The sequence below is a fragment of the Homo sapiens genome, chromosome 4, assembly GCF_000001405.40.
Source record: "Homo sapiens chromosome 4, GRCh38.p14 Primary Assembly".
NCBI classification, from domain to species: Eukaryota; Metazoa; Chordata; class Mammalia; order Primates; family Hominidae; genus Homo; species Homo sapiens.
Window position 1 is genome coordinate 31,978,375 of NC_000004.12, and position 13,869 is coordinate 31,992,243.

General features: G+C 37.6%; 1 long non-coding RNA gene across 1 annotated transcript; it reads right to left on the minus strand.

The window, feature by feature from the left end:
- Positions 1–6,118: 6,118 nt before the first annotated feature.
- LOC107986222 (uncharacterized) lies at positions 6,119–12,284 on the minus strand. The gene is made up of 4 exons (XR_001741502.2): positions 11,886–12,284; positions 11,273–11,453; positions 9,700–9,914; positions 6,119–8,433 (listed from the first exon to the last, which is right to left on the minus strand). It is a non-coding gene; the product is annotated as an uncharacterized LOC107986222 (long non-coding RNA).
- Positions 12,285–13,869: the final 1,585 nt, after the last annotated feature.

Genomic DNA, 13,869 nt, shown 5'->3' on the forward strand with positions numbered 1-13,869 from the left:
CCATTTAATCAAGTATATTATTTACTCAATCAGAAAATATTTATTATATATCAATTACATACTTGGCTAGGTAGGTACTAAGGTTCTGGAAATTCCCCCGGGGTTGGGGAAAATAATGATAAGTTTCCTATAGCAGACAGAACAATGATTTGCCTAGAGTAATCCACTTCCTAATTCCACAAGTACCAGATAGTTTTCACACCCTGTATGCTATGGATCACTTGGCACCACCCAGATCTGAAAACTGGACCTGGGTCCATTATTCAAGAATATTGTTCCAATTATTTTATTATATCCCAATCCCCAGCACCTTTGACTATGTTAACTTGTATGGTGAAGGGGACTTTGTAGACATGATTAAGAAAGATTTTCAGACAATCCCTTTGAGAGAGAAATATTTTCCTAGATTATCTGGGTGAGTCCAAAATGATCATAAAGTTTTTATAATAAGGAGGCAGGAGAATCAGAGTCAGAGAGAGAAGGCATGCCATTGGAAAAAGGTCAGAGACAAAAGAAGATTTTATGCTGCCAAACTGTGAAAATGAAGGAAAGGGCCACAAGCTGAGATTTGTAAGTGACTTCTAGAATCTGGAAAAAGCAAGGAAAGCGATTCTCCCCCAGAGCTACAGCTGGAACACAGCACTGCTGACACCTTGATTTTAGGATTTACAACATCCATAAATATAAGACAATAAATTTGTATTGCTTTAAGTCACCAAGTTTGTGGTAGTTTGTTACAGCAGCAATAAGAAACTAATACAGCTGCTATTTTTAAAGAATTGATACAAATGACTAAAAGCATATGTAATTAATGAATAAACACTGGTAAGTCTTATCAGTGAGATAAGTGGGAAGGAGGATGGTTAGATATAGGTTAGTCAGTGATTTCTCTCTTAAGAAATTGTGTTTATTTTGTGCTCAAAGGGATAAAATGAGATGGTCTTGTAAAATGTGAGGGAAAGAATAACATAGGCATAAGCAATTTAAAAGGGTCTGAATTCTTTTCTTTTCACAAAGCATAGTCAACATGGTTGAAACATAATGAGAGAGAGAAAAAAATCATATAAAATGAAGTTAAAATAAGGCAGGGGCTGATCATATTGAAATTTACAGATTATGGTACAGTTTTGAGTTTATTTTAAATGAATGTAATGTGGACCTATAAATAAAGCTGGGAATAATATTATTTTATCTAAATCTTTCAGAATTCAATATTTCTACTATGTAGTCATTGGATTAGCTGAAGACAGAAGAAAAAAAACACTAGTTAAGCTACCATTTGAATAAATCATACTGGAGATGTTGGTATCTTCAACTATGATGATGTCAGTGAAAGTAGAAAGAGTTGTTCATAGCATGGGCAGGATTTGTAGACAGGTTAGGATGGGAAGGTAGAAATGAGAGATCAAAACGAGACACAACTCATAAGCTATCTATTAGAGCAATTGAATGCATACATTGAATAGAAAAAGTACAAAGGCAAGAGATGAACTAAGAATCAAAATGCTATTTTCATATATTGGATTTGACATACTATTAGAGATTCTTGTTGAGATATATAGTAAGAAGTAGAATGTAGAATTGTACAAGTCTGTAATTCACAGGGAGATCTGAATAGGAGATTAAAAATATAGGAGTCACCATATTGTAGATTAAAAGTAAAGTTTAATACACTATGAAGTACCTTGTGAACTAGTGTAAGAACTTTGCCTTTTTGCCTGAGTGACAAGAGAAGCCATTAGCAGGTTTCAAGCACAGAAGTGATATGATCTAAATTGTCTTTTGACTCCTATGTTGACAACTGAATGGTAGACAATATGAAAGATGAGAGACTATTCAGGAGAAAATTTGACAGTATCAGTGGCTGACAGACTTAATACGGGTTGTAAAAGACAGAGAGGAGAAGAGAACTCCAATTCTGAGTTGTGATACCCGCAGGAATAGAGTTACCATTATTTGAGAGGGATAATATTGAGATGAGCTCAATTTAGAACATGGTAAGTTTGAGAAGCCTATTGTATATCCAAATAAGATACCAACAAGACTGTATGATATGAGCCTAAATTTCAGAAATGGATCCAGGCTAAGATCTATATTTGAAAATCATCAGCCTATAGTTTTTTTAAAGGTATGAGACAGGATGAATTAACCAAGGAATGAGCTTATGTAGAGAGGAAACAAGAACCAGGAACTGAAGCACAGGAAATTCTGTATTTACTGATTGGGGAAATAACAAAACAGAGCAAAAAAGAAACAAAGAGTAGCCAAAATGAGAATGTTATGGGGAAAAGAAGGAGTGCTAATCACCTTATACTCCACAGACATCTTCCAGAATGAGAACCAAATGCATTAATCACTAAAGAGATCTTTCTAGAAGTTGCACAGACATCTCAAATGTCTAAAAGTACTTTATTAATTGTATTGCAACGTTATGAACTCTCCATTTTAGTGAATGTCAACATGTCTCCCCAGATGTTCCAGTGAGAAATCTGAGAATCTCTCTTTTCTGTCTTTTCCTTAACTTCCCAGGTGCAATTAGTCTGTCCTGTGCTGTCTACTTTGAAAAAAATAAAAATTCTCTTCTTTCCCATTAGAAAATTCATTCTGTAATCAATTACAGAACTGATCAAGAAAGCTATCAGTTTTTATCTGTAATAATCCTTTTAAGTTGTTTTAGTTCCTCTACATTTGCTATAAACACATTTATTATAGCCAAAATTACTCAAATATTTATCTATATCTAACTTTTGAGAGTAAGATGGCTAGATATCATTGTATAGCCTTCACAGCAATGTTTTCTTCTTCTTCTTCTTTCTTGTTTTTTTTTTTTTTTGAGATGGAGTTTCGCTTGTCACCCTGGCTGGAGTGCAGTGGTGCGATCTTGACTCACTGCAGCCTCTGCCTCCCCGTTCCAAGCGATTCTCCTGCCTCAGCTTCCCGAGTAGCTGAGATTACAGGCACCCACCACGATGCCCGGCTAATTCTTTGTATTTTTAGTAGAGACGGGGTTTCGCCACGTTGGGCAGGCTGGTCTCGAACTCCTAACCTCAGGTGATCTGCCCACCTCGGCCTCCCAAAGTGCTGGGATTACAGGCGTGAACCACCGCGCCCGGCCCATAGCCATGTTTTCTTTGGTGGTCTGTTCAGTGCAGAGATCCTCTCTCCTTTGTCTTTGTAAATGTATTCATGGTTCTCTCCTTCAATTGGCTCTCATTATTTTCAAGATAAATATTCATTTGAGTTTGGCTTTTAAAGAATTTTGTCATCTGACCCTGGTTTACCTGTCTAGCTTGATCTCCTGGCATGTTCTTATATTATACAACAAATATTGTGAAATATTTCGTGTTTCCCTAAAGGACCATACTCTACCTTACGCATTTGCATATAAAATTTATTCTATGTAGAGTGATTATCTCTGCCTACTCATTTGTCTAAAGGTTTGTTTCAAATATCAAACTGAGTTAATAAAGAGTTCCCTAAAATTCACAGGCAAAGTTAGGTTTTCTTTTAATCCTCTTTATTGCTAATGATACATTTTGTTTGATTTTTTAATTACTTTGCATCAATATTCTCAATTTGAGTTCTTGACAGAAAAGATAATACTACTTCACCTTCAAATCCAAATTAAAGTGTGGTATCAAGTACATAATAAAAACTAAATAAATTTTCACAAAGAAAAGAAACGAAGAATGAAATAGTTATGCAGGAAAATAAAGGAGGATATTCTCTGCTTTTTAAAAATTAAATTAGATTTTAAACATTGAAATTTGTAATTTCACAATATTTACTATACCTCGATCTGCAATGTAAGTTACCCTAGGATTTGCTTCTTTTATGGCCTGATATTGAATAACCAGCGTGCTAAATCATTTGTGACTTATTTTATAATATGTTAGCAGCATATGTACATTTATATTTACATATAATGTGTGCATGTGTGTTTGTGTGTGTAATTCCATATTTGTCTGTACTGAAGGAGCTGTCATGTTCTCTAATCAGGAGTTTACACACTTTCAGGAGAGTCAACTAGCATTCAAAGAGAAAGCACACACTACAGAGGGCAGTGTTTTATATATTTCAACTATCTTTATGACCAAAGTTTGTTAATTTTTATAATAAATTTTGGAAATCAGTTTTGTTTTGTAATATCAATGGCCCATTAATTATGACAATACCTTTTAGAAATGGGCTGTCATTGGTAAAATTATTGATGTACAGGGTGTGTGAATGGCTAATACATTTGAGATATACTTTCTACTCTTGCATATAGCAAGCTACAGAGTCTGAATCCTTAGGAATAAGGAATGACGTTTATTTCAAAATGTTTCTAAGTCTAGCTATTGACTCAGAGGATTCAGGATGCCTTATTCTGTGAACTAAGCTCTGCTTCCTGTATAATTGTGCCTAACACAAGTCAACATTTTATTAAAGATGCGGTGGAAGAATCTGAAACAACAGAAACATGAAATTTCATTATCTTTGTAAGACAAGCTGTGTCCATTTCTCCCTGGTAAATATATGTTTAATAAACGTCCTGTATGCCCCAAAAGTTAGTTGGTGATGACTTTCTGAGAGAGAAACCAAAAGGGCCAAGGGAAAACTTCCCCTTTGCCCTCTGTAGTTTCATGGAAAAAAAATCAACTCAAAAAAGGTAGATTAACAAGAGAAATGGCACACAAATGTATGAATGTGTACACAGGGAGAATCAGAGTGATTGCCCAACCTCGCAATGGGGTACAGAAGTTTATACACACATACACACACACACACACACACAAAATATACAAATATGTAAATATATATTATATATAGAGAAAATTATATATAAATATTTATATATAAGCTTCTAAATATATTAACATTTATATATAAGCTTCTATATAAAAGCATATATAAGATGGATGTCTATATAGATATATTTATAAATATATATCTGTATATATGTATATAGATATAAAAGCACAGCTGAACAGGCAAAAAAAAATAGTTTAGATGCCATCTTGAAGTTACAGAAAGAATAGGGGATCAGAGTATAAGCAAAAACAGGTTATAGTGGTAAATCAGGTTATAGTGGTAAGACAGGTTATAAGAGAGAGAGAAGAGGAGTCCTGGCTAGCAAAGGTGATCTTGTTATGTAAAAGAAATCTCATAGGTAGCAGCCCTCAGAGAAGATAGATGGAAAATGTTTCTTTAGAGCTTTAAGGGGGTCAGACTCTCAGTTAATCTTCCCTAGACCTGGACAAGGAAAGACCTCAGAGAAAGCCGGCTTGCATCAATGCAAATTTTCTATAGATTCAAATCTCCCAGACAAAAGGCAGCTTTGCAGGGGTATTACTGTTTATGGTCTCTCTGAACAGTCATCTCAAAATATGCCAAAGAAGTAAATTTTGGGGTGAAATATTTTATTTCCTTTATGACTGAGTCACACCCAACTCTCATTTTGGCAGTCACCATTATTAAGAGTTGTTAAAACAGGTTTGAGTCAGCCTGATACACTGGGCTGCCTGGAAGTTCCTGAGCAACAACTCTATATGATATGGTGCAGGAAAAGCAGAAAGGGAGATGACAGACTGGGAGACAAAGCATTTGACTGTCACTGCCTTTGTTGATGAAGACAAGTGTGCTTGCCAAAGTGCTTTTACAAATGTGCTAAGGTGCTCCAGAGCAGCCAAACAAAACCTTCACAAGGTTAGGCAAGATAGAAAACCCTTCAACATAATGAGAATGAATCTCTTCTATCTGATGAAGCTCTATGTCCTCTCCTTAACTCTCACAGACCCCAGAGGAAAGTGTTCAAACAAATACAGACTTGAGCATCTAAATGTTATTTATTCCTGGTCTATATCTTTTTCTTCTCTTAATATCCCTTAAATTTAAAGTCATCATAGCCTGTAATTTAAAAGTATTTATTCTGATTGCTTATTTTCTGTAATTTATCTCCAATGAGATTGCAAGCTCTTCAAGGCTAAGAGATAGGACGTTGGGAAGACTCTTCAGAGGAGCATGGAATAAGAAAATATAATAATAAACTGACACTTTCTCTTTCAATCCTTGTAGGAAGAGAGATTTTGAGGAATAAAACGCTGAAGTTTCCTGAGGAAGCACTGTTGCCGTAGAACACCAAAAGCAAGTTTCAAGTACTGCATGCATCCTAAGCCAAATACTGACACATTAGTGCTTAGGAGCAGAGAAAGGTTTATACAATTTGGCCAAATCCTCAAGACAGGACAGGCAAAATATTTAATCTGACCTGCCTTTGAACATTACTGCCTTTGAACATTTATGAATACAGTAGGTATGTAGGAGGTGAGACCTCAATGATCAAAGCTGCTTACCTCCCTTGGCTGATCAAACTTCTGGACAACATCAAGGAGGTCTGCATGATATAAGGATTATTGTTCTTTGAATGAAAAAAAAGGTTCATTAATCTTATTGGCAGCCACCAGGAGTCAGGATATGAAGTTAATCAGTTATTAGTGAGTTGGTGACCACCTCTACTGAAATGACTTAAGTACAAGTTATCATACATGGAGAAAGAAAAAGACAAAGAAAGAGGAAGATAAGTAAAACAAACATCTTAGGATTTTTATCATATAGGCTCAGTTACAACATCCCCACTGTCACTGTTTCATGCCTCAGTACTGAAGAGTTGGGGTGTTGACTCATTCTAACTACTTCCTCCGAAAGGGGTGTTGCTATGGGGCCAAGGAAAGGAACTTAGTTACCAGCAGTTGGAAATACTCAAGAGTCCCAGGTTGTACAGAGGCAATTTGTTGCAACATCACTAAACAGGTTGTCGGGAGCCTCTGAGAGAGGCAATCTTGCAATATCATACATGTAATACAATAGCAATATAATCCACAACAACAAAATATTTCTATTCCTATACTCACAGCTAGAATTATTAATATTGTTTTCCACTAAGAGGGTTCTAATCTAAACCACAAAGATAACTATTGGTTTAGTGACATTGTGGGGTTGGACATAGCATTAAATTTTTGTGCATATCTTGAAGGGTCAGGGTGATGTTTCCTGAATTGTCTGGAATGTACACATAGCATTTGGTTTTGTTTATGGTACAAGTTCCCCCTTGTGCAGCATGAGAACTTCAAGGGCCATGAAATTCTGCAAGGCTGCTTTTCTCCTTGTGGTCATTTCAGAGTCACTAAAAAGATGTCTTTGAATTCATCCTTTAGCACTTGTTGGTTATAGTTTGTGAGGGTCTTGACATGCCAGATAATATTTTCTAAAGTAACTTGGGGATTAAAATTAGATAGGACATGGTCTTATCAGTGGAAAACTGGTCTGTTCCATTGGTACAACACATTAGAGAAATTTGCAGTTTGTCCAGTGGTTTTGGTCAAATGGTTCTGGACCAATGGGAAACCCAACATGCACCATTCTATCCATGCAATGGGCAGCCAGGGCCAACGATTAGTCCCACATAGCCAATGAGTTCCAATCAGTAGTGATTTCCAATCACCACTCAGTAGTGAGTTCCAATCATTAGTCCCACACAGCCTCTGTGTCCAATCAGTAGTGAACCAGTGGGTTTATTGAAGCACTGGAGTATCTTCACACCAGTGTGGAGGCATCCAGCCCACATTCTTAGTAATATTTGGCCAATAATCAAAAGAATAACTTTTGGTTTCCAGCATAAGAGAGCAATTTGATGTAAGTGGCTGGTAGTGGGGGTCATCCAAATATAATCATCCCAAATTTGATAAAAGCCTTCCTCAGTATAGCAGCTGTTAATAGACAAAATTATGAGTTCTACTGAGGGAAACTCCATCAGGAGAGAAATACCACACTCAGAATTTGTTGAATTCTCTGATGTATATACAAGGTTTTCTGTGACATGCATGGTGAAGGGTTACATTAATGCCAAGCCATCACCTTCCATTTCCTTTTGTTAGGATCCCAGGGGTCTGATTTTCTTGTGAATAGTTTTTCATAAAGGTTTGTAATCCATTATTACCTTGTAGGGGTGAGACCCACTAAGGTAATCCAGAAATGCTAGAGACTGGAACAGCCCCAAACCCAATAAGTTTCCTGTTTTCAGCTATCTGCATAATGCGCCCATGGTAGGAAATGATTAGTTTCAGCAAACAGCCTAACCCCATATATTACTGTGGGGATTAGCCAGAATCTCATGATTAAATGACAAAAGGTTTTACTTATCTGTGTAGATTTTCTTAAAAAGCAGCTTCAGGTTTTCAGTTGTTTCACAGGTTCATTCAGGTCCATTATGTGACAGACCAGTCTGAGGAGGGGCAATTTTTATCCATGTAGAATGTATCCATGGTTTAACTCTGGCCAACTTTACACATGAATGAGTAGTCAGAAGGACCTCATAGGGTCTTAACCATTGAGGGGCTAGTTGATGATCTGGTCCAGTTCCCTCCTTGTCTTAAATAGGACTTGGTCTTCATCCTGGAAGGGATTAAGTGGATGCCCATGGGAAAGGCTAACCTGATAGAAGCAAACTCATGAACAAAGGTTGGTATTTCATTAAATAATTTTAAATAAAGAATAATGCCTCCTTCTTTTTCTAAGATTTAATCTCCTGATTGTAACCCAAGAATGGCCAGGAAGGGTCTCCCATACATAATTTCAAAAGGGCTCCACTGGAGCCTGCTTTAGGGAGCAAGTCAAATTCTCAAAAGGGCAGAGGGCAATACTTTGTCTCAACGTAGATTAGTTTCCTGACTAATTTTAGCAATTTTTCTTTTTATAGTATGATTAATTTTTTTCAGACTTTCCTGTGGATTATGATTACTACATTGCTTGAAGTTTCCATTCAATGTCTAAGATTTGAGACACTCACTGTACTACCGGAGAGATGAATGCCACTCCATTGTCTCACACTGAATTGTCAAAGGGAGACCATAACTGGAAATTATTTCTTTGGGGTACGTGCAGGCTCCTTTGGAGGCCCTCTCTGTTTGGTTAGGTTACACCTCCACCCATCCCATAAATGTGTCTACAAAAAAACAAAAAATGTGTAGCCTCTGGTCACTTGCAGCATTGTGGTGAAATCTACTTGGCAATCTTTGCATGGAGAGTTTGCTCAATGTTGTAACCTCTGAAGAGGGTGTGGGGATCAAATTGTAGGGTGGTTTTGAGCACTAAGCCTGCATTGATGGATCGCATTTTAAATGACCCATTGCATATTGGGACCAAATACTCATGTAGTCACTGAAGGGTTGCACCTTTTCCCTAATGGGTGCTTTGATGACACTGGCTCGCTGTATCTTTAAAGAGGGCTCCAGAAACCAATATGATACTTTCCAAATTACATTTCTAGTCAGGATAGGCTGGAGCTTGGGATGTGAATCTCCATTCCTTGACTTCTTTAAATCTCCCTCAGTACAGCAAGGTTGGAACTTAAATCAACCAGAGGTATTGACAGAGATAAGATAGCCTCAAAGTCCAATGTTCTTGCAGCCTGCTTGGCTGCCAGGTCAGCAAGTTGATTTCCCTTGACTATTTGGGAGTCTCATTTGTTATGACCAATACAGTGATGGTAGCTACCATTTAGGGGCATTAACAGTTTCTAAGAAGGCCAAAATATCAGAGGCATATTTGATTTATTATGGTTGGCCAGAAGCCCTCTTTCTTTCCACATAGCTCTGTGGGTGTGTGCCACTAAGAAAGCATATTTAGAGTCTGTATAAATATTAAAAATGTTATCCTTACCCAATTGCAGGTTATGCGTAAGGGCAATGAGATTGGCCAGTTGAGCTGAGGTATCTGGAAGTAATGCTTTTTCTTCCACAGTACCTTGAGATATAACGGCTGTGTATCCAGCACAATAACATGCATGGTCTATGAAGCTGCTTCCATCTGTGAACAGGTCTAGTTCAGGGTGTGGCAAGGGCTGATCCACCAGGTCTGGACATGATCAAGGAGGTCTGCATGATATAAGGGTTATTGTTCTTTGAAAGAAAACAAATTCACTAGTCTTGTGGGCAGCCTCCTGGGTAAGGACACAAATGAATAAATTATTAGTGAATTGGTGACCATCCTCTACCTAAATAACAAAGTTCAAGTAATCGTGCATGGAGGAAGAAAAGGACAAAGAGAAAGGAATATAAGTAAAATGAACAGCTTATGATTTTTATAAGATAGGCTCAGCTACATGATCTCACATAAGAATTTTCCATTTACATAAACCAGGCACCCTGATGAAATGCAGCCTGTACCATGATGTGGTGCATCCTTCCCTTACTACAATCAGCTAGTCTTTAGGTGGCGCTTCCCTCAGCATCTCACTCCTCAGTGTGATGGGTGTTGTTTACAGTGCTCTAAAAATTATCCACTTCCTTTCACTAAGGTGTTCTCAGTTCTCTCCAAAAAAAAAAAAGAAAAAGAAATGGTAGAACCTTCATTAGTTATGCCTTAAAGAGATGTCTGGTGAAATTGATTATAATTTTGTCACCTTAAGCAGTTGTTCACGCTCTGGTGTTATATAATATTCTCCAAATACTTGATGAGTTACCACATCTCCTCATTAATGTAGCACTTCAGTCAACTTTCACTACATTTTTAAATTTCAGAACAGTATAATATACAAATGCTACAGCACATGACTAGACCACACATAAATTAATGGAAATCATACACTACATAGAAGCATTCTCTCCCACTCAAGTGTAAACTCCATCGCTGTTCAAGTAGGTAGCTAGGCAGACATGAACAGGGCAAGAGAGGGCCCCTACACCCCACCAGGAAAGTGAGGGGACCATGAGGTGACGAAAAGGCAGTCGTCACACTGCCTTTCTAAAGCAATAATTGGTTGCAACCAGCCCCAGGGAAGGGGAGTTTCCCAATAGGTAGAAAAAACCTGACACTGGTGATCAGTAGCTTCCTGATAAAATCTCAGGAGTTGGGCGAATGAGCTCAAGCAAGCACATTGAGAGGCAAAATGGTGGAATTTAACTGGTATATGACCTTCCTGGGGCATTCCACCAGAAAGGGAAGAATGCCTCAGGTGAGCACACATACAACTCCAGTAAACACACTATGCATGTTTATCTCCCAAGGGCTAGTAGGCCACCATGCATGTGGGCAGCCCAGCCCAAGGGAAAAATCATGGGAGAAGGGATGCAAGACCCTGGAAGTATGGTAACATATAAAACCCCAAGTCAAAAGTTCAATCCCACACTCGTCCTTCAAATCGCCTGCTTGGACCTCTTCCAAGTGTACTTTCCTTCCTTTCTTTTTTGCTCTAAAACTTTCTAATAAATTTCATTCCTGCTTTAAAACTTACCTCTGTCTCTTCTTCTGCCTTTCCCTCAGTTGAATTCTTTCTTCTGAGGAGGCAAGAATTGAGGTTGCTGCAGACCTGTACGGATTCACCACTGGTAGCATCACTATAAAACATTACCTCCTTTGTTGCAGTGGATGAAAAAATTTATACTTCATCTGTCAATATGTTCATATCCTTATCCCTGGAGCATGTAAATTGAAAAATTTATTAAAATAATATTTAAATTTCACAATATTTAAAAATACGCTTTTGTATATGAAATCTACTCCGTGGCTTCTCTCAAACAGTGCTGTGTTCATATGGTCAAATTCCAATCTTGTTTAAATCTTTCTATCCACTAATCTCCTTTCTATATGTATGCAACTAGTATTCAACACTCATGTTCATTTATCTCAAACAAGTGTTTACCATTGCACGGTAAGAATACAATTGTTCCTTAATACATTCACTCTCCAAATTTCTTAAGCATCTCTTTCCTGATTTTTTTATTCTCCCCAATATCAAATCCCTCCTCTTCACTCCCATCTGGTAACTATACTTCCTATTTCAATGACTAAATTAAAACAACTAGAAAATAACTTCTACCTATGTATATTTGTGACCATATACTTACATAATTGCTGTTCTAATCAAACGGATGAAAAACTAAGGTCAAACTATCAATTTGTACAGTAAAGCACGTCATCTTCTCAAAAATACCACCCAGCAATTCTCTTTCTCTTTCATCTGTATCATTGATTTTTGTTTCAGAAGAGTATATATATAAACTGTCAGAGCCAAGGGAAGGCTTCCCTTTTGCCCCTGAAGTTTCGCTGAAAGAAAAAAAAAATCAACTCACAAAAGGCAGATTAATTTGGGGAAAAGGCATACAAATTTATTAATATCACACCGGTAAGAACCACAGAGTAATTACCTCTCCCATGGGGTGCAGAAGCTTTGATACCATCTCGGGGCAACAGAAAAGAATGGGGAGTCACAGTATAGTCAAAATCAGGTTATGGTGGCAAATCGGGTTACAGTGGCAAGACAGGTTATGGGAGGAAAAAAAGAGGAGGCCTGGCTAGCAAAAGTGGTCTTGTTATGTAAAAACCTCATAGGTAGCAGCCCTCAAAAAGCATAGATGATAAATGTTTCTTTTTCTTTTTCTTTTTTTTCTTGAGACGAAGTCTTGCCCTGTGCCCCAGCTGGAGTGCAGTGGCACGATCTCGGCTCACTGCAACCTCCGCCTCCCAGTTTCAAGCAATTCTCTGCCTCAACCTCCGAAATAGCTGGGATTACAGGCACCCCCCCACCATGCCCCGCTAATTTTTTTTTTTTTTTTTTGTATTTTTGGTAGAGATGGGGTTTCACCATCTTGGCCAGGCTGCTCTTGAACTCCTGACCTTGTGATCCACCCACCTCGGCCTCCCAAAGTGCTGGGAATACAGGCATGAGCCACCGCACCTGACCAATAAATGTTTCTTTCAGACCTTTAAAAGTGTTTTGACTCTTAGTTAATCCTTCCTAGATCAGGAAAAGGGAAAGTCTAACTGCATCAAGGCAGATTCTCCATAGACATAAACCTCTCCCACAAAAGACAGCATTTCTGGGTTACTTCTGTTTTCTGCCTTTCTGAACAGCCATCTCAAAATATGTCAAAGAAATAGATTTTGTGGTACATTAGTTTGATTTACACACACACACCCCTTAAAGATCGAATATCATCTCATATTTAATAATCCCCAAATTGAGTTCCTGATCTCTGCCCTTAATCATTTCTTCCCTTATCATTACCAATGAAATGGTTATATCATTCTTGTAGATGACCAGGTGCCAAACCCTAAAGTCAGTTTTTGTCTCCTTTCTTTCTCTCATCACCAAGCTAACCAATCAAAAATTTTATTTTGCTTTAGCTTCCAACAATATACAAAATTTGACCATCTTAATTCAAATCACCATCATCCATTGCCTCGATTCTTGCGTTAGCTTCCTGTTGACAAAAAGAGTCAAACTCTGTAAAATATTTGAAGAGATTTACTCTTAGCCAAATGTGAGGACCATGACCCATGACACAGTCCCAGGAGAGCCTGAGAACATGTGCACTAGGTGATTGGGCTACAGTTTAGTTTTATACATTTTAAGGAAACATAAAACATCGATCAATACAAGTAAGATGTACATTGGTTCAGCCAGGAAAGGCAGGGCAACTCGAAGGAGGGTGGCAACAGGTCGAAAGAATTATTATCAAAATATGTCTTTTGATAGATAATTAATTTAATTAGACCTTTATTTAAGAGAATTATTCCAGCAGTTGTTTGAATAATTAAGTGGAAGTTGGGGTGAAGGCCAAATGACAAGCTTACAATTTGTTGCAATAATCAAGAGAGAAGAAAGTAAGATTCTGAACTAGTTGGCTGGAGAAAAACCTGTTAGGCAAAACAAGCAGACTATGACCTGTGAGATCTCCACTCTGAAAGTATCTATTGACACAGGTGTGGAGGCTGAACAGAGAATCCATCTCTTCATGTCAAGATGTTAAGAAAATGTCAAGATGACAAGAAAGTGTCATTTCACATAAAGTAGCAGGATTGTGTCATGGTGTATTTCACGTTATGTTA